This window comes from Homo sapiens, chromosome 6, assembly GCF_000001405.40.
Source record: "Homo sapiens chromosome 6, GRCh38.p14 Primary Assembly".
Lineage (NCBI taxonomy): Eukaryota > Metazoa > Chordata > Mammalia > Primates > Hominidae > Homo > Homo sapiens.
The window spans coordinates 154,111,576-154,134,021 of record NC_000006.12 but is presented as its reverse complement, the minus strand read 5'-3'; the positions used below and the strand labels follow the sequence as shown (position 1 = coordinate 154,134,021).

At 39.5% G+C, this 22,446-nt stretch overlaps 1 protein-coding gene across 11 annotated transcripts in view; it reads right to left on the bottom strand.

The window, feature by feature from the left end:
- Window positions 1–22,446, bottom strand: part of OPRM1 (opioid receptor mu 1) — a 236,372-nt gene that overhangs the window by 112,846 nt on the left and 101,080 nt on the right. For 6 of the 11 annotated variants that reach the window (NM_001145279.4, NM_001145280.4, NM_001145281.3 and 3 more), the window contains one exon: window positions 1,666–15,339. The exons of 1 other annotated variant lie outside the window; for it this stretch is intronic. In NM_001145279.4, coding sequence (NP_001138751.1) covers window positions 15,301–15,339 — 39 coding nt within the window. In that variant the 3' untranslated portion in view covers window positions 1,666–15,300. Of the gene's footprint in view, window positions 1–1,665; window positions 15,340–22,446 lie in introns of those variants that run through there. 4 more of the 11 variants (NR_104348.1, NR_104350.1, NM_001285522.1 and 1 more) reach the window with 1 other exon arrangement.

Genomic DNA, 22,446 nt, shown 5'->3' with positions numbered 1-22,446 from the left:
AGTCTTCAGCCAAACTTAAAGCTTCTTCCATTGCTCAGCTTTCAAACCCTATGTCCCAGTCAACCAAACCATAGGCCATTTCCAGTGGACAACAGTTTATCTTTATCACAATCCCTTTGGCCTTTTCTGTGGAAATGAACAAGCTAGTTCTAAGATTTATACAGAAATGTAAAGGGTCAAGAATAGCAGTCAGTCTTGAGAATGAAGCACTTGGAGGGCTTACGCTGCTAGATAATCAAGACTCATTGCAAACGCACAGTATCTAAAACAGAATGGACAGATCAATGGAAAAATTCAACAGTTGGAAACAGACCAACACACATTGGACTGCCTGAATTCTGGCACGGGTACATGACAATGAACTTGAGAAAAATAGTCTTTTCAATAAAAATAGTCTTTTCACACATTATTGGAAGGAGGGTAGACTGGTAAAGTCACTTCAGAAAACCATTTGGTATTATTTGCCAAACAATTCAATTTCTAGATAAATACTCCAGACAAATGCATGCATATGTGTACCTGAAGATGTCACACACTAGCATTATGATCACCTAAGACTGGAGGTGACCCAAATGTCTATCAATTGATAGCAGAATGGGTGAATAAATTGTGACATGTTCACACAAAATATGAAGGCCCTTGAATACCATGGGAAGGGATCGGACTTTAATCGTTAGGTAATAAGACACCATTCAAAGCTTTTGAGCAGAAGAAGGACAAGATAAAAACTGTGTGTCAGGAAATTACATCTGGTAATACCATGTAGAGATGAAATTTTTACATATAGGGACATAGCTTTTTCTTTTCAAAAGGCCCTTGTAAATAACTCTTTTCAATAGGCAATCTAAAGTTATGCAATGTTATTTTGAGATAGTTTTTTTCTTTCTTTTTTTTTTTTTTTGAGATGGAGTCTCACTCTGTCGCCCAGGCTGGAGTGCAGTGGCACAATTTCGGCTCACTGCAAGCTCCGCCTCCCGGGTTCACACCATTCTCCTGCCTCAGCCTCCCGAGTAGCTGGGGCTACAGGTGCCTGCCACCATGCCCGGCTAATTTTTTGAATTTTTAGTAGAGATGGGGTTTCACCGTGTTAGCCAGGATGGTCTCGATCTCCTGACTTCGTGATCCACCCACCTCAGGCTCCCAAAGTGCTGGGATTACAGGCGTGAGCCACCACGCCCAGCCGTTTTTTTCTTACCATAAAGTGTTTTCATGTTGAGACGTTTCCACTTCAAAAAATTGTACCTAACAACCCAGAGCATGCTCTGAATTTCACCTTATCAAACTCTTTGTTTCTTGCAAATAATTTTCCTGCTCAAAACATCAAGAACACATTTTTAAAAAAAGTAGACTATCAGTGGATTTAGCTGCCTATATTTTCAACTATAGACTTTACAGTGGATATTTTTCTTCTCTGTATGGTTTGGTTAGAATTCTAGCTTAGGAAGTTATGGTTGTCAAGGTTTAGAGACATTTTGGTTCTAAAAATAGAAATAATTCATGAAGAGAGAAAGTTCACTTCTTTATTTTGAAGTATTTATTTAGTATCAAAGTTGTCTGTTACTCTAATTCTTAGGCTATTTACCTACGTCGCAACATTTACTTGGGGAATATTCTTTTAAAACAGGTCAGTAATGTCAGAATGAGAAAGACAAGGGAAAATCTAGATTTGTATCAGTTTTAGGTTTTATTTATCACATATAATTACACATTACATATTACATGCAGGAAACTTACAATACAGCCTAATATGTTTATGTATGCTGGTACATCAAGAACAATACAATGCAAAAATTTATATTTTTTATATACAACTATCTGAAACAGTCAAATAGGAGTAATGTAAAAATAATTTAGTGAATTGCTCACTGTTTGATATACTAGTTGACATTTTGATCTGCACATGAGACCATTATGATTTAGCAGGTAGTTCTTTTGAAAGCTGCATCTGATCATCCTGTCCTACCTGGAAATGTGAAATAGTAGCTTTGTCTCTACTTTAAATGAAGATATTTATTTTTCAATAGTAAACAGACATGATGATGGAACTAACACACTAATGAAGAGAAAAAAAAAAAAAAACCAAAAACTTATAGAAAAACTCCCAGACCATCAAAAGGAAAACAATGTTGTGTGTTTTTTTTTAACATTCCTTTTTGTGCATTATCACAACAAACAATATATGTATTTGTCTCTATAGGCGAAATACAGGTTTCCAGGCAAATATTTTTGAAAAGCAGATGTGGGGAAAGAGCTTAAAAACACACACAGAAAGCATGTTGTGCTCACTGTTACAACTGTGGATTTCATACCATGTTTTGAAAGGTGATTGTGTTTTCATTTACTTGGATACAAAATCCGTAAAACAGAAACTATTCTATACTTTTTTATTTTAATATGACCAGTTGACATTTCTATGTCCTGTTTAGGTGTCTGGACTACTGTAAATTAAAATGTCACCCTGGCATACAAACTGAATCTACGTGCAGAGCAGCAGGGGTCTATCTTTTATTTCACCCCCAACACTGTCAAGGAAACGAATTAATTCTGCCCTTCTTTCAGACTCAGGAATATAAGCAGCTAGAAAGAGGACAATGGGTGGAAGGGTTGATTGCTTATGTTAGGTTTGACTTAAAGCTATAGAATAAAGAAGGAACAATTCAGTTGCCATTCTTATTCCTGGAGAGGAAAAATAGTTTGTGGGCAGGAGTCTGTTTAAAATGTCTGAACTTAATCAACCATGAGAGGCTCTCATTTACTCAGATTCTTTACAATATTTTGATTTTTTTCCTACGGAAACATTATATGTATCTTTTAAAACCAAGGGTTATTAGTTACCTGAATTTCAAATGCAATTTAAAACATGGAGGACATCTTTTCTTTTCTAGTGGAAATTATATTTGGATAGCAAAAAATGTGTCATTAATGTTATAAAAAAATGTAATGACAAGTGACAGAGCACCTAATCTTTAGACTTACTTTTTTTTAACTTTCCTATTTGCTATGTTTGACAGAGTAGTTTTTCAATTTTTTAAAATAAATCTGCACTTACAAGGTTTCTTTTTTTCATATAACATAATAAAATGAAAACAACAAGATCACTCATTGTTTTACATTTTCATAACTGGCTATTTAAGTATGTAAAAGTTCAGGAAATGTATTGCCAGGGGAAGGATGACTTAGTGAAAACAGGCATTTTTTCTTTAATTCCCATTAAAATAATGGAAATGTATGTGCCAATATAAATTCCCATTTATATTGGTATATATATATTCCCTTTATATATTCTATTTATATTGGTAGATATATTTTTATGGAATGGCATATATACTTTCATATAATGGTACTAATGCTTTTATATGGATATACAATTAGTATATAAAGGGAATATATATACTAGTATTTCTAACTTAATTCCTATTAAATTGATGGGGATTTATAGGCAAATATTCATATAGCTATGCCTAACACAGAAATTTTTATGGTAGGAGTATTAAATTATAAATGGTAGCATTGAATTTTATGGATTCAAGATTTATGAAATTTTAAACATTTCTGGCCAGGCGCAGTGGCTCACACCTGTAATCCCAACACTTTGGGAGGCCGAGGCAGGCAGATCACGAGGTCAGGAGATCGAAACCATCCTGGCTAACGTGGTGAAACCCCATCTCTACTAAAAATACAAAAAATTAGCCAGGTGTTGTGGCGGGCACCTGTAGTCCCAGCTACTCAGGAGGCTGAAGCAGGAGAATGGTGTGAACCCGGGAGGCAGAGGTTGCAGTGAGCCAAGATTGAGCCACTGCACTCCAGCCTGGGCGACAGAGTGAGACTCCATCAAAAAAAAAAAAAAAAAAGAAAATTTAAACATTTCCATGAAATCGATGGTTTGGGTAGAGACAAAATAATTTAAATTTCAAATTAAGATTTAGATAGAGATAGTATAATTGAAAGCAAATTCTAATTTTCATTTTAAGTTTACTTCCAGAGTACAAATGTAAATAACAAGAGTGCAAGTAAATTATTGATGCTGGAGTTTCAAATAAGGAGGTAAGCCTTTGGTAAATTGTATTTTAGTATTGATTGCATTTTATTTTGATTACAACTATCATATAATTCCCACGGGTCCATTTCACTATGTTGTGTGTGTGTGTGTGTGTGTGTGTGTGTGTGTGCTGGGGGGGGAGGGTGTCGGTGGTAAAGTACGCTTAAAATGCAAAGTGCCTGACTGATAAGAGAAACTTCAACCAAACCAGCCATTTAAAAAAATCACAGGAGTCTTCAAAAGCTTGAGCAGCTGTAGAGCAATCCCCAACAGTCTGGGAGCTCATCAGACCTTGAACTAAAGAAATATGTTTCAAGAATAGATATAGAACTATTTTTCAAATGAATGTAGATGTTCTTATGAGAACTAAAATACACATCTGAAATTATTATTGACATTTTAGTTTTTCCATTATGATTTTCTGTAACAGTGGGCACTAAAACTCAATTATGTGGAAGTCTCCAATCATATATGATGTTGACATTGAGAGGAGAGAAAGACCCTCTCACATTGTTTTATATTGTTTCATATTCAGTAAAAACAACAAGGAAGTAAAACCAAATACAGGCAGCTCAGCGCCAGGCCCGAAACCAGGCCTGGGCCCGCCTGGCCTAAACCCAGTAGTTAAAAATCAACTTATGATTTAGAAGCCGATGTTATTCATAGATTCCTTACATTGTATAGAAGAACATTGTTCTGTTCTCTATTGTATAGAAGAACTCCCTGTCCTGTTCTGTTCCTCCCAGACCACCGGTGCATGCAGCCCCTGTCACATACCCCTTGCTTGCTCAAATCAATCACGACCCTTTCATGTGAAATCTAGTGTTGTGAGCCCTTAAAAGGGACAGAAATTGTGTACTCAGGGAGCTTGGATTTTGAGACAGTAGCTGGTCGATGCTCCCAGCTGAATAAAGCCCTTCCTTCTACAACTCGGTGTCTGAGAGGTTTTGTCTGTGGCTCATCCTGCTACACCATGAGGTTCCTATACTTCAAAATATTAATAAAACACAGATATAAGTTAAAACTCCTATTCTCTTTTGACATAATAGAGCCAAATTGACTTATGTTTATAGATCCAATTTAACATTAATTTCCTGTTTTTTACAAAGATCTCTGTGCACTATGCAAAAACAGAGCTAGAAGAAACAATACTAGTTTTTAAATTTATGTCAGAAATAGCATAGCTATTACCTGGCAGTTCCCATTTATCAGACCTTCAGCTCTCCATGAGGTACAAGGTAGCCTTTTTCCTCAATGATGTCTTTATGTGCTCAGTCTCCAGCTGTCTCTGGGAAACCAGCTAGTTCGAGAACAACCAGTATGATTGCTTCAACTGTCTTCAGGATCAATGATAAAACAGTAACCAAATTGATCTCTCAATTTCCTACTGTGAGTTTCAAACTTATTATGAGAAAAAAAAGAATTAAAAGAGGTGCCCATATTTTAATATGCATGTGCACATTCATGGGGCAACATACATCCTGGCACAAGGATCCTCAACGGACTGTCCCAGTTCTTAGACTTCACTGGAATTTTGCTATGGTGAACATTGCTTCAAATAAATGGTCCTTCAGCTGTTATTAGGAATTGTACTAAATAATTTGGTGCATAGATTTGCTTATGATAAGATTTAGTTAGAAGGAAGGAGTTCATTATAAAAGTGAAAAAGGAATCCCGTAGTCAGAATTAACTCCACCTTCATTTTATTCTTTTAATAAGTGGGTAAAGTTTATTAAGAAAACACACAAATCACTGGGCAGATCTTCAGGTAAACACCAGTTTTTCTTATTGTTATTTTCCCCCAGCCCATTCAGAAGTTATATGATTGAATTACAGGTAGCAAGGGGATCCTGAGAACACTTGCCAGATTACTATTTGTAATACTGAATTTATAAATCCTGGAAATACTCTGTTATTTGAACCTAATTTATACAGATGCGGTAGCTTGCATGGAAAGTACTCAGCTGGGGAGTAGGCCTATTGGTTTTCTCTGGTCCCTTGAGAAATAAGGGCCATGAATTTCCATAAAGCAAATGAGTTTTGAGTTAATACAGCAGTGATCAGTTACAGCTTACCACTGAGACAGAGCACTGGGTGAGCCTGGGGGCAGACGGGAACAAATTGTATTACAGCCAAAGAGAATTACAGGAAGCCTTTGTTATTTTCCTGTTTTCTGAATGAACCCCTGCAGAGGCAGGAACAGGCATTAGGAATCAGGTTTGCCACCTGCAGAGATGCAGGAGAACAAGAATCAACCTATGGATTTCTTGTGCTAGTCAGGATATTGGAGATTGAATTCTGACTGGCTCTAAGTCAAAATGATGGAGAGAAGAGAGTTGTTATTTAGTGAAAGCGAGGGGTGGGGAGGGTTGTAGCCGGCCCACCACAATGTCAAGTCATGAGCACAGGTACATCTCAATTGGTGGTGTGGACCTCCTAATCTAGTCTGGTAGTTCTTATCCTGAGCGTGTATCTGTGTGATGACAAACATTTCAGGGACAAGTAAAACGTCTTAAACACAACAAACAAATAAACAAGCAACAGCAACAAAAAACCCAAACAAAACCTCCCCCTAAGCCCCTAAACCCTTGAAGAGTAGGCAAGTAGGGCATAGGTGTTTCTGAAAACACCTAACTGGTCATTTTATTCAAATTCACTTTATAAATGAGACCTCTTCTTTTGGAAGTCTCTGGCGGAATCCTTAGATGATAATGGCCACTGATTTCAAAGCATGACATCTCAGAACACAGCAAAGAAAAGCCACATGTATCACTATGGTAGGAAAAGTGTAGAATTTAATACTGCATCTCAAGGCTGTGTTGTGTGAAGGAAACTTTGGGCACATAGCATGGCATGTGGCACTTTTTTTTTTTTTTGAGACAATCTCATTCTGTTGCCCAGGCTGGAGTGCAATGCTGCGATCTTGGCTCACTGCAACTTCCGCCTCCCCAGTTCAAGCAATTCTCCTGCCTCAGCCTCCCGACTAGCTGGGATTACAGGCGTGCACCACCACGCCTTCCTAATTTTGTATTTTTAGTAGAGATGGGGTTTTACCATATTGGCCAGGATGGTCTTGATCTCCTGACCTTGTGTTCCGCCCGCCTCGGCCTCCCAAAGTGCTGGAATTACAGGCGTGAGCCACCGCGCCCAGCAGGCACTTTTTTATTTGGGGAAAGTAAGAAGTCTAATATGTCACCAGCAGGACCCACATGTTTACCTCTGCTTGGAGAACCTTTGAGGCATTACTGAAGGCTGTACACCTGTCACTGAGCCTTCCTAACACAGAGCAGTGAACAACCATGGAAGCCAAATCTACCCTGCAGATGAAAAGAGGCACCAGCTGATTCTAGGCTTGGTTGTTTCGGTGTCACAGCAGTGTAGGGTGGTGACATTGCCACCACAACCAGATACAGAATATGAAAAGCACTTCTGCAACCCAGAAACCCAGCTCCTGAGGGAACCAGGGAAGAAGAGCCTATGAGACATTTGAATTTTGCAAATATTGGGTAGTGTTGGGACACTTCTGCCCTTCTTGAAATGGGGGAATATAATTGTTGTTCTCCTTCCCAGAATTTCTTTGTCTTTGTCCTCTTGGACAGTGAAATCACAACCATTAGGTCACACAAATGTAGTCTCCTCTCCCTTCTCTCTGGTCTTGTTAATTAAAGCAGTTTTGCTGTGCTTAAATTAATGAAGCTCACTCATGTTGTTCAGTGAATATGGCTATGTTCAATTTTACCCAGACTCTTAGGAAAAGAGTTGTCTTCTTTATTTCCTCTTTTTTTTTTCTCTTCTCCTATATCTTCTGTGGTTTATACCACTTATCTCATTTCCGTTTGGTATTTTGTAACCCTGTGAATTTATCAAAAAATGTCTAGCCGGGCCGGGCGCGGTGGCTCACGCCTGTAATCCCAGCACTTTGGGAGGCCGAGGCGGGCGGATCACGAGGTCAGGAGATCGAGATCATCCCGGCTAAAACGGTGAAACCCCGTCTCTACTAAAAATACAAAAAATTAGCCGGGCGTAGTGGCGGGCGCCTGTAGTCCCAGCTACTTGGGAGGCTGAGGCAGGAGAATGGCGTGAACCCGGGAGGCGGAGCTTGCAGTGAGCCGAGATCCCGCCACTGTACTCCAGCCTGGGCGACAGAGCGAGACTCTGTCTCAAAAAAAAAAAAAAAAAAAAAAAAAAAAAAATGTCTAGCCTTAGTGGGCAATGCAAACTTAAATAAAACATTTATGCATTTGAAGCGAAAGAGCGTAAGTTTAAGAGACTTTAAAGCAAATGGGATGTGATAGCCTGTTTTCAACTTTTAGGTCCTTTCAAAAATCAAATTGCAAAGGAAGTTGTAGGTAATATTGGAAACCACCTTTCTCTGGAAGGTTTTTTTTGCTAAACATTCCTATTACAGTGCATGTGACAATATGAAGATGAATTTTCCCCACTGTCTCAAAGGGACTCTGTGCTCTCTCTCTAAAACCTAAAACAAATACTTATTTTTCTTTATGAGTATACTTATGCTAAGAATGTAATACTTTTAGTTGGAACTTAAGCAAGAAAACTCTGAATCTAAACCTGTGTAATGGAAGAGGTTTATTGCTTCAGAGGTTTAGGTTTTATGTACACAGTTGTGGGGCAGGTAGAAAACGATATTTGATTCATGAAATAGCTTTGGATGACAACAAATCATTGAGATGCATGATAGAGGCAAATTCAGGTACCATCAAAATTGTCAGTAGCCCCTTACATGGGATATAATTAGTATTACTGTTCTTTCAAAATCGAAAATGAAGATATATCATCTGAAAAATATAAATATATCTATTCTTACCCTGAAATATTTTGGGCTGCTCTGGTTAATATTGGGCAATTTTTACACTAACAAAAAACTGGTATAGTTTTGTATTGCTCCCACAGGACAGAAGTTTTCCTGAAATACAGAGCTGTAAAACTGTCTAATGTAGCTGCTTGTGCTTGGCTGTGGCCTTTGGTAGGTCCTGTACCTGGTCTGAGAGATTCTACAGAACCTTTACAACTTTGAATAGATTGCTACTTGCTCTACAAAATGTCTGAGTGCTTTTAGAGATAATTTCTTTGGATAAAAGGTAGTGAGGTGAACTACTTTCTCTAAGTAGCAGCAAGGTGTGTTGGCAAATAATTCCAATGGTAGAATGGTTAATATGAGTAAGCTTTCATCTTTTTTCCTTGCCCTTTATCATTTCTACTTGATTCTTACCTTGCTCTTCCCAAATAAACAATAAAGCTTCTGCACTGTCTGAGACCCAGTAGTATGTTCCAGGAGCATATTAATGTATTTCAATAAAGTTTTACTTTAGTTTCGAGCATATGAAGTACTTTTTGATGCAAATGGATTAAAGACTTACTGTTTTTTGAGATTGAGACAAAAAGGAAGGGCTCACCCCATGTGTCACAGGAGGTCAGAGGACTGTTTTCCGTAGGTATGCGATTCCTAGGAATTAATGTCTAGAGCTCTAACATCCCACCCCACACCTATGGAAAACAACTTCTTCTGTGATTTTGTAAAGTTTAAGTGCAATTTCAAGTGCAGGTTTTAATGAAGTTCTCAGTACAAGGTAACAGGAAATGCAAAGTGAGTTGAAAAAGTATATTAAATTTGTATAAAATGCATGATGGAAAAAACCCATAGAAAACTGATCTTTCTCTGAATATCTGCCTAAGGTCTAGAATAATCTTTTCATATATTTGAGTCAGAAGATGCTTTCAAAAATTGATAAACTTAATTTTAATGATTTCCGAGCTCTTAAAATTCCTTTAAAAATGTATACACTGCATTTATTCAATATTGTGTGGAAAGTACCTTGCTACAAAAGTACCTTTAGTCCACTGTCAATCTGTTTTTCCTCCCTTAAAATCTCAGTGTCAATGGTCCTTATATTTGTAATTCAAGTGTCAGAGGTGTTTGAACCAGAGCGACTCCATCTTGAATAGAGGCTGGGTAAAATAAGGCTGAGACCTACTGGGCTGCATTCCCAGGAGGTTAGGCATTCCAAGTCACAGGAAGAGATAGGAGGTTGGCACAAGGTACAGGTCACGAAGATCTTACTGATAAAAGGATGTGGTAAAGAAGCCGGCCAAACCCCACTAAAACCAAGATGGCAATGAAAGTTACCTCTGGTTGTCCTCACTACTCATTATACACTAATTATATTGCATTAGCATGCTAAAAAACATTCCCACCAGTACCACGACAGTTTACAAATGCCATGGCAATGTCAGGAAGTTGCCCTATGCGGTCTTAAAAGGGGAAGAACCCTCAGTTCTGGGAATTGCCCACTCCTTTCCCAGAAAACCCATGAATAATCCACCCCTTGTTTAGCATATAATCAAGAAATAACCACAAAAATAGCCAACCAGCAGCCCTTGGGGCTACGCTGCCTATGGAGTAGCCATTCTTTATTCCTTTGCTTTCTTAATAAACTTGCTTTTCAGGGAGAAGAAAAGGACCAATCAGTTAGGTAAACAGCTAAGACTAGTCCTCGGAGAAGCAGGCTGCCTGAAAAATCATAGCTACAGGCAAAAATGGAGCAGCCTGGAGAAAACTCAGACTATAACTGCTGCACTGTTAGAAAGTAAGGCCCAGCATAGAAGCCTTTTGTTCACTGTGTGATTAGTGGGCTCCCAGGAAAAAGTTTCCTCCTTTTTTCTGCTCCGTGGGAACTTGCAGGGAGGAAAGTGGCTTACTTAAAACAAACCCACAATTATACAACAAGAGAAGCTATGCTTTGTGCTCGCCTAGAGACACCCCATAGCTGCATAGATAGAGGCAGTTGTACAGACAGCTTTTCAGATAAGAGAAGTTACTCAAATAGCTGCAGAGATGAGAGGAGTTTCTTATAAAAGCTTTTGGATTCAGCTGTAAAAACAGCAACCCACTTGGGCTCCCGTCTCTGCTGCAGAGAGCTTTCCTCTTTTGCTTATTAAACTTTTGCTCCAACCTCACCCTTTGTGTCCATGCTCCTTAATTTTCTTGGTTGTGAGACAACGAGCTCGGATAACACCTTAGACAATGAGACCATTGATCCTGACCCATTTCACTTTCACTTTACTCCTGAATTCTTTCTTGCATGAGGTCCAAGAACCCTCTTTTGGGGTCTGGATCAGACCCCTTTCGAGTAACAGAAGCGCTTAGAACACAGTAATATTGTTTGCATTAAATTGAACTTGACTCATCTGTCTACTGCTTTAAGAATGGTATTTGATATGGGTGATATTGCATAACAAAAGGTTGAACATTTGCCACACACTGCAGCTCACAAAGCTATCCACATTTGGTTTTGTTTCTGGAGCAGTTTGTAATGTACACAATTCCTTGTACTTTTTATATTTTTGAAGACAGTGAAGAACACTGACTATGGGTTGAAATTATTTGTAATTAAATGGATTAAATGGCTCTTAAATGGATGCCCCAGAGTTGGACTCATTAATTTACTTTTGCCTTAGACCTTACTTGCAGTGGTCTTAAATACAATCTGCATGCCCTGTTCTATGACTATGTATCCTGAACCATATCAAACTGGGGGAAACACAGTGGTTAGAGTTGCAGTGGCCCAGGCATTTATGAACTTTCATGTTCTCACTCTTCTGAAACCAAGCAATAGGCCTGTGAGTAAAGACTTATGTTGAGAATCCAGGCAAGAATCTTGATGTTTCTACAAGGGCAGTAGGGATTCCTTGAGAAACCAATTTTCTGCTGGTGGATATTTCTATGAAGAGGATAATATTTCTTCCAGCAACAGATTTTTTGGTTCTGATTGACCTCAAGAATTGTACAAACACAACTTGTGTGTGTGTGGCCAGTTAAGAAGCTGAAAAACTTAAGCTACCATGTCCTATTCTTAGGTTGCTTTGGCTAGAACCCTCTAGAATTTGTAAAACCACAACGGATAGTATCAGCTTCTGCAGTATTCATGGCGTAAGCTGGAGAAATTTCTAGTGCCATCTTATCTTGGTAATTGCCAGTAGATGGAGAATATGTCTGTATAAAACTGATTATCTTTATTATATGAGAGATGCAGTACGCATCTTATCATTTCCACATATTTAGATAAAACATTTAATTGAAGCATTACCAAAAAGATCTTGTTTTTAGCTTTTAAACGTATAAATAGACTTGACTTAAGTAAAGATTTTGAATGCTTTGGGGACTTTTTGATAAATGTGGTCGGAATCTTTGCAGAGGTGTTTTCTTTGTATCTTACATTTCATATCTATGTTTCTGAATTTCAACTTTTGCCTGGATCCTGAGATGTAAAGGGCATGCTGTGACAATGTGGGAAACAGAATTTGTTAGCATCTTTTGGGTAATATTAAATGAGCTAAGTGAGACTTATTCAATAATAACATTTGCAAGTGAATGGTTATCAGTTTTATCAACACAGTCATATTATTGAAGGGAATGAATGCTCTCTTACCTACTCATAGCCGTGTCTTAGAAGAGGTTATTTTAAAACTTCAACTGTCTATTTCAATGTTGAGAAGTGTTTCAAATGGCCACATTAGGAGTTCTCCGTCTGACAGCCCTGTTGGGATAGGATAGCAGGGTCCTAGAGACTCACCAGTGCTCCAGCGAGTCTCTTTCCTCTTCTTTCCTTTCTAATGATTGGCAAGGAAAGAGGGATGAAGGAGCAAAATAACAGTGGAGACTGAAGGAGAAAAACCACTAACTACTTGGAACACAATAAGCTAGAATTTCCACAGCAAGTGATCAGGTAAAGAAACAAAGCTTCCGCCCCATAGCTACAGTCTGCATTTCTGGGATACCAACCTGGGAAGAAATCTCATCCTTAGGCAAGGGTGAAATTAGAAGGAAGAAAAAAGCAGAATATTCCATTTTCTTTATCTTCAGATTTTATCAGAAACCTTAGCCCATCCAGTTGAGTCAGGGTTGTAATGTCTCTCCTTGCCTTGGAATTGGAAGGTGGTTCTAGCAAATTTACGTTAAAAAATGGTTTTGAATGAAAAACGTTGACAATGACCTTATTTATTATTTACTTTAGAATGTCTTATTTTAAAAATAACTCCCTTTATTGTGTATTCTGTGTAGAGTCTCAAAGATGACATGGAAGAAACTTGTTCACACACATGACATTTGTGGAAAAAGATAGATCAGGTCCTACTTGAAGACAAAGTTGCTCTCAACATGCCAGATAATTCGTACTAGGAGCTGGTATTAAGCAGAAACAATGATTGCTGAGAAACAGCCTGATGAGCAAAAGCAATACTATGTCATCTCTTGGGAGAAACCATCCTAGCCCATGAAAAGCATGGATTTTCCTCCTCAGTTATTTACATACAAATATTACATTGTGTTCTGTTTGAATTATCCATTTTACTTTTGGAAGCTCTAGTAGTGTATATATGTAAATATATACACCCTAGTACACTTATTTAACATTCTAAATCTTTTTAAGGTCCTAGTTTTAGTTACTTTTGTCAGAAAATATAAAAAATTAAACATAATGTATGTCTATTATGGAACATAATATTTGAGAAATGGAGATTATTACAAGCAAACATGAAACTTCATCAGAAGGAAACACTAAAAAACTTATTTTGGCTTTTGTTTTTTCCCATCTACTGGATACGTGGGTTGAGTCCACATAACTATAGCCAATAGATCTGAGAGTAAATTCAGTTATTCTGATCCATGATAGCTGTTTTCTAGAAACATTGCTTTTGTATATCTGGCACATATTTGTGCCTTGTCAGATTGATGAAAAAATACAAATTTTACAATGGAGTCTACAATTTTACAATTGTAGGCTCAGGAATACTCAGAAGTCAGCAGCCTAGTTTTTTACTTGTATCATCATAGATAACTACAAGGTATTTGATTCTTTTAATCAATGCTGACAAAAGTTCAAAATGGAGAGCTTCTAGGCATGGGCCATCTGACTTGGCTGTCTACCTAGATCAAGTAAAATGGTTGATTGCCAAATCTCTACTGTGTTTCACAACAAAGAAAATCAGTTAAAGCGGAGAATTGTCTTAAAGAAACTACTTAGAAGATCGACACTTTACAAAGGAAATCTTGACATTTAGCAGAGATCAAAAAGACCAAAATATTGGTGATGACATTATATAAACACAATCTTCAGGAAAATATTTTTGGGCCATTGTTAATATTTCACATCCAAGTAACTACACAGGATTGAAAAATAGATGACACACTTTTCTGTATGGTCATATGAGTCTGTCTTGAGATTATGTTTATTGGATTTATTGTTTAAAAAAAGTTTAAACTGTTCTGGCAATCAACAAAAACATCTGTCATTTTATCACACTGATTCAAAAGGCATAAGGATTCTGAGCTGAGTTAAAAAAAGAAAATAATATGTGGGGAGCCTGCAGTATGGAGAAACCAGTGAGAAATAAAGAGTACATTTTAATGCTTGACTTCCTGCATGGATGAAGTGATGAGCTCATTGACTATTACCTTTTGTGAACACTTAAATAGGAGCAAGAAAATTGCACATTTAAAACTGAGGAACAAACCACTGAAAGCCTAAGAATGAAAAATCCCCCATGATGACTCTTTGGAAGTATTTGCAGTGCATGAGAATCAACCTTTCTACAGCTGACACATGACTGTGTTTCAGATTACCTTTCATGCTAATCTCTTCCCTTGCAATTATGGAGCTAGATGAAAGAGATGTTATTTTTTTAAACAATACAAAACCAAGAAATGGAGGTGAAAATGATGCCTTAGCCAGATGCTAATTTTAAGGTGAAGTTAAAAGTCTAAAATAGAATAATGGATTCATTCCCTTGCAAAACACTAAAAAGACTCGGACCTTCCATTCAAGGTGCTTTGATCAGAGGTAGCATTTACTTTATGTGTTACTACGGTGAACTTAACAAAAGATGGTTCTTCTTTGTTGAGGTCATAAATATTTGCTTGAAAATAAAATCTTACAGACAGAAGGGTCACCTTTTATGATGACTTCAATTCACATACCACGATGGGTTTTGGTTCCACTGGGTGTCTTGCACAAACTGGACTCCTCGGTGTGGTATATTCCTTTCCTTCCAAATGCTCCACTTACTTTTGGCTGTCCCTCTAATGTGCAGAGCAGAGTGGCCAGAGAGGAAAGAGGTTGGATGACCTAAAAGCAGGCACTTTCCTAGAGAATTAGAGCCTCCTACACATTCTTGAAGCAACCTGCTTCCACATACATGGTGGCTTCTAAGCTTGGTGAAGGTCGGAATGGCATGAGACCCTGTTAGGGCAACGGAGCAGTTTCTGCTTCCAGATTTTCTAGCTGAAAGGAGAGAAAGAGCAAAGACAGTGAACATTTCAGATACGGTTGCAACACACATTTGTTGAGCATCTTCTGCTCGTAAGAACTGCATTGAAGACCTTCATGTATACTTTCACCTGCAAGCCTCAGTTTTTCTTAAATGTCAAGACATTAATCAATCTCTTCAGACATTATGAATAATCTTCTGGCTCATTATGAATATGCTCTTCATTTGTGTATGCTACTGAAAAGAACTGTATACTAGTCATTATAGAGAGATTATTGATAATTTCCTTGAAAAAATACATTTTAATTGAAACTCTTTCTCCCCCTTTTTTTACCCTCTTCCTCCCTCTTTAGCCTCAAATCATTTATGACTTGATCAAAATTTTGAAAGAAAAACGATGTTTTTTTCAGTACTTCTGATCTTATTTATTTCCAGATAAAGAGATTTCTATTTTTACCCAATTCTCAAAATTAATGATTTTTTTCCTGTAACTGATTTGAAGTATACACCCTACCTGATCCCCACTGTAAAGCTGGCATATGTGTTGAACAATAACATTTGCTCAGACACATGGAAATGTGGCCTGCTATTTTCAGGTAAGAAAAGAGGACTGTGGAAACAGAATAAGTTTTGTAATTAACAAATAATTGTTGCTATCATTCATTATAATACTGCTAAGGAGAAAAGGAGATGTTTGTATAGGAAGCGTAAAAGGGTAAAAGATCATTTTTTTAAAATTTTATTTTAGTAAATGTGCTTTATCCATGTGCTTTGCCATCTGCTTTTTCTCTCTTTTTTTCTCTCTCATACACACACACACACACACACACACACACACCATCTTTTTAAGCCATTTGATGCTTTACCCTTAAATATCTCAGTACATTTTTTCTAAGAATAAAGAACAGATTAGGTCATTCTCACTTTAGGGAGAGGCAGTCCATCATGGCCAGGAGTGTCCCTGCACACCCTTGCTGACCCTGACAAATTACAAGGTCTAACTGTCCTCTGACTCTGATCATTTCTGTAGCTGGTCACACAGGCAATTAAGAAAGCACAGGCGAGCACAGCACTGACCATGATGTGGCTGCTTGATCGTAGGGGAGGTTTGTTTATTGCTCCCCCAGGTGCTGAGACTTAAGCTCTGGGTTCCTCAACTGTGATACGACCCACTGTGTGTGTACTGCAGTCTGGTCCCATCGTATTGCCTTGTGGGATTTGGGAGTAGGGGAACTGGCACTATTATGCTAAAGCTTCTGCTGTTTGCTGTGCTGTGAGTAGTCAATTGCCTGGGTCTTTTGTCTAATTTTGGCACCTATAGAGTTGTGGCAAAGCAACCTACTTGCTTGCTTAGTCATCTCTTTTGGAATTCTATTACTTCTTGCCATCTTCTAAGAGGTTGAAATTCTTCTCAAAGTGGCACAAAGTGCAGGGTGCCAAGACAGACAACAACTTTTTGGAAGAATAAAAAGGCAAGAACTCATAAGCTGGATTCAGGGACATTTGTGAACTCCCTGGGTCTGGTAGCAAATATTCTGGCCCAAATGGTGCAGAAGGTGGGCAGCGAGTGGTCCACCTCTGTCCTACCTGTTGATGAACAAGAGTTGAGTCAATAGATGGAGGTTGAAAGGTGAGGGATAAAATCCAAGAAGCTGCCATGGTTTCTGTTTGCTCATCTGTGGGGTGGAGGATGGAGAGAACATTCTGGGTTCCATTAGGGAGGAAAGCACAACGGTGTCAAGTTGTAAGTTACAAATGTATACACCTGAAGGGCAATGCATTCCCACAGAGAGTACCAAGATGCAGATCCAAGGGGAGAGAGAAAGGAAAGAAGTCCAGGGGTGCTTGGATCAGCAGACAGAGGGGCTGTTCGACACTTGGCTGCTGCATTGGTGTAATGAAGGAGTAAGAAAGGTTATGCCTTAGAGCATGCAGAACCAAGGCTGTCTCATGTGGGACCTTATACTTTAAAACACTGTGCAAATTATGTCATTGAGATAGAATCATGTCCCACAATAAGGTTTGCTACCCTGGATTTCTGTTTTAGTGACTACATTATGGTAAATCCAAGAAGATTTTTCTTTTCTTTTCTTTTCTTTTTTTTTTTTTTTTGAGGCAGAGTCTCGTTCTGTCACCCAGGCTAGAGTGCAGTGGCATGATGTTGCCTGACTGCAACCTCCACCTCCCAGATTCAAGCAATTCTTATGCCTCAGCCTCCTGAGTAGCTGGAATTACAAGCATGTGCCACCACGCCCAGCTAATTTTTGTACTTTTAGTAGAGATGGGGTTTCCCATGTTGGCCAGGCTGGTCTGGAGCTCTTGACCTCAAGTGATCTACTTGCCTCGGCCTTCAAAATGGTGGGATTACAGGCATGAGGCACCACGCCCAACTGAAGAAGATTTTCTTAAGTCAATAAAATCTCATGAAACCCCATGGAGGAAGCTATTTAAAGCCTGAGGGCTGAAGCTGCCCTAGACTTGTTCTGTCCTGGACAGAATGACAGCTTTGATGATGAACCCTCACCCAGAGCACGACCAGTGCATTTTTAAGATTGAGTTTCTCCCTCCAAGGTTGAGGATTCCACTACTTTTCTTGCCGGGAGATCCTGTACTGGCAGCTGTGCTGATTTAGGGCCTCTAGATGTCTAGGATAAAGACACCACTCCCTAAACCAGGTAAGGTCTCTGCAATCCAAAACAAAGCCCAGGATGAGAAAAACCAAGCCCCTCCAAAGGGACCTGATCATAAGGCAATGTGGGCATGCCTACTAAACAGGAGCTCCCAAAGAAGGGAATGATCGGATGATCGCCAAAGAAACTCAGTCCAGATATCTAGCGACGGTGGGCCCTAGGGAGGCAGTTAGTTGTTTACACAGATGAAACTCTATGTTCCTTTATAGAAACAGATTCCTTTGTGGAGATCAATCCTCCTTTAATGGAGGGGGAAGCCAGGTTGCTGCCCCAGGGCAGATCACCCCCTCAGAACCTCTACTGTCTAACTTTAAACTTCTATATCCTGATTTAGACTCCTTTAAGGACAAGCTCTCTTCATTCCCAAGAGGAATCAGAGGCATTACACCTGATGGGGGGAACAATGGAGGTAGAGGAGAGAAGGAAGGGTCCAACTCTTATTCTCTCTCTCTCTCTTTTTTTCTTTTGAGGCAGAGCCTCACTCTGTCACCCAGGCTGGAGTGCAGTGGTATAATCTCTGCTCACTGCAACCTCCACCTCCCAGGCTCAAGCAATTCTCCCACCTCAGTCTCCCGAGTAGCTGGGACCACAGACATGCACCACCACACCTGGCTAATTTTTGTATTTTTGGTAGAGACGGGGTTTCACGATGTTGCCCAGGCTGGTCTCGAACTCCTGAGCTCAAGCGATCTACCCACCTCAGCCTCCCAAAGTGCTAGGATTACAAGCTTGAGCCACTGCGCCGCCTTATGTCTCTTTTTGATATCCATGCTCAAATGACTAAGTACTAGGTTCTCCTGAGGGACTGCACTAGGTTCTCCGAGGTCCTTCTCTTGTAAGGACCACACATTTAATTACCCAGATTTGATACCAAAAAAATAGGAAAGGAAGTAACTGTATCCACTAGGCAGAGCTGTTTAGAGCCCTGTTATCTACTACTTTTGCGGCTCCCAGGGCTGAATGTGTAATTGGTATTGATAATTTACATTCTTGTTCTGTAAATGTTCATGATGTACAAGAGAGATTTTTTTGATTGGAAGAGCCATTTGTAGAGAGGGATAGAAGGATGCATGCACAACTGATCACAACTTGGCTTTGGTTCTCTTCAAGTTTTTTGTTTTTTTTTTTTTAATTAGAATTCCAGAAGGAGAAAATGAAACCACAACCTTGACCAAGGACTTAAATACAATGGGACTAATGAAAAATGTAATATCTCAATGTAGCAGCCTTGTATGGTCAGTGAAAAAAAAAACTAATGGGAATCTGGAGGCTTGTGTTAGATCATGCCAACTGAATTTAGTTGGTATTATAGTCCTGGCTGTTACAGACATTGTGACTGTAAATGAATCAATTCCCTGTGATAGCACCTGGTGTGCCATTTTTGATTTTGGCCATGTATTTTTCTCAATCCCTTTTGCACCCAAAGATTAAGACCCCTTCCCTGGCTGACCCTCCAAAACATGTTTACTGGGCTGTTGCAGTACTACGTGAATTTCCCTGTTATTTATCGCCAATAGGTGGGTCAAAACACAGGACAAGCCTCTCTCTCTTTCTCTTTCTCTCTTTTTTTTTTCTGCAGAGAAATTGGGCTTACTGTATTGATGATATTCTATTGAAAGGCCTTAATAAAATTAGCCAATGCTAAATCACATGAAGTCCCAGAAAGGCTCTTAATTCTGATAAGATACAGGACCAGCCACCCAAGTCAGTATCTCCAAAATGATGTGGACTAAGACTCAAAAGTTGATCCTAGACGGTAAAGAAAATATTCTTTGCTCTATGGCTCTCCTAAGAGAAAGGAAGCCTGGCACTTAATTGGACTATTTAGATCTTAGAGACAATACGTGCCTTATCTATGCATGCCTCTTGTTGAGTCCTATGTACAAGTTGATTAGAAAGTCTGCCATATATGACTGGGGACCTAAGCTGCAGGTGACACGTGGGTCAGTGTAGCAGGCTGTTGCAGCAGACCACCTAGGGGGCCCTTTTCAACTCCAGGCTTCTGGAAAGGGAAACAGTCTCCACCTGGAGGTACCCCTTGGCATCCTGGACTCACTGCTTCCCTGGCACCACTCGCCACTTCATTGGGGAAAGAACACCTTAGACCCTGGAGGTGCTCAGAGGAGGGAATAATGAATGATCTTTTTGTCTCTGAATCCCAGCCTCTCACTTGGCAAAATAATCACATGGTCCATCAGAGACAAGCAGCAGCTCTGATTGCCAACCCGTAACACTGCTGGATTTATCAGCTGGATTTATCATCCTCATCCGTGTGCTGTGGGATCAGAAAATCTCCTGTTGGCCTGCTTGGTCCAGAATTATTCTACTGTGCCTGGTGTATCAAAGTCAGCTCCCCAAAATTAATCACCCTTTTTACCTGCACAATCACTCAGACAGCTCATACTGATTCATGTGCTTCTCCTGACACTGAGTGCCCTTGAGTCATGCTATGGAGGGCTGTCCAGGTGACAAGTACTTGGCGACCCTGCCCATAGAGCTTAACCAAACCAAGGTCATGGTGATCCAAATCAAGTTATATGTTCATATGTGGGAGAGAGTGGCCCAGAGGATATCCATCCACTGGAGCATGTGGAGGTTGCTATTTGGTTCATCTTTGAGTCCTTGCAATAATTGGCAATGGCGCCACTCTTTGGATTTTATTTCCTTTGTTAGTCCCCTAGGTAAAGAGGGCTGTCCTGCCTGAGGGATACATGGTTTTCTATTTCCATACAGCAGTGTGAGTACTGTTCCCCAGCATCAGAGTCCACATTTTAGAGACAGGCCAGGAACCTATTCTTAAGTTTAGCTACCCTAGCCAATGAGACAGAACAAACCATAGAAGATCAGCAGGTCAGTCTTAGCTCCCTGATTGTAAATGGGTCATTGATTGGCCTTAGACTACAGTCTGGCTGAATGGAGGAGAATTTGTATGGTAGCCAACTGTTCCTGTTTTGTTTGGATTAATATCCACGGTATGGTGGAGCAATCCATGCATACCATAAGAAAGGAAGCTAGGTGCTTATCTGAAATTTGACCTATTAGTCTTCTCTGTGACTTATTTAATTGGGTCGGGGATCCTGGAGTGCATGGTGGAGGTCAATACTGCAGACTGACCTAATCCTGTGGATGGGATTCTGCTGACAATAGCCCTAATCTAGTATTGACTGAAATAAGTGGAAACAGATTTGGTCCTAGTCCTTGTCAATATGTCTAATTCAAGTTGCTGATAGGGTGGCATAATCGTATAAAAATTTAAGTTCAGCCAAGAATATTCTAGGTTGAATGTGAATTATTGGGAGAGGCAGTCCACTGAACAACCCTGCCCATTCTTACTGACTGAGCTGAACTGCAAGATCTAATCATCTTCTCACCCTGATTTCTTTCTACAGCTAGTCATAGTCAATTAACAACCTTCACTGCCTGACCACATGAGGACCACGGCATTTTGAGACTCTGGCTCCTGGGGAAGGAGGATTGATTTGTTTACTGCTTGCTACAAAAGACACTGAACCCATATCTCTGAACTCCTCAGCTGCTGTGCAACTCATTGTATGTGTAGCAGCAATTTGGGTTCATGGTGTCACATCACAAGACATAAAGGCAAAGGAACTGGCATTAGCATGCTGATACTTGTGCTGTTTACTGTGCTGTGAGTAATAAGTGGTTTTCTCTGGTCCACTGAGTCATGCTATTTCTAGCACCCATAAAATTGTGAAAAGCCAAGCTACTTGCTTGCTAAGATATCTCCTTTGCAGTTTTGGAACTTCCTACCATTTTCTAAAGCTGGGTTTCTTTTCTGATGATAACCACAGTACAGTTAGTAGATTTGACATTTGACATTAGATACCATACTTAGACACATATGTTAGATACATAGATGTAACACAACTCTCTGCTGTCGGTTTTCTATTTTTGTCAACAATTTTTTAAACTATAGTTTTTGGCCAGGCGCGGTGGCTCCAGCCTGTAATGCCAGCACTTTGGGAGGCCGAGGCGGGCGGATCACAAGGTCAGGAGATCGAGACCATCCTGGCTAACACAGTGAAACCCCGTTTCTACTAAAAATACAAAAAATTAGCTGGGCGTGGTGGCAGGTGCCTGTAGTCCCAGCTACTCAGGAAGCTGAGGCAGGAGAATGGCATGAACTCGGGAGGCGGAGCTTGCAGTGAGCCGAGATGGCACCACTGCACTCCAGCTGGGCGACAGAGCGAGACTCGGTCTCAAAATAAATAAATAAATAAATAAATAAATAAAAATAAACTATAGTTTTTCCAGGAAGTCAACTAGCAAATACCCTTGGGCTATTTTTGGTCCTGTTTAAAAAAATTAAATGTTTGAAAAGCTTTTAAGGTTCAAATGGAAGCTGATTTAAGGCACTTTTAATCTTTATCCACGCAAAGGTTGGTGTGTATTTCCTGCACTTTTGGAACT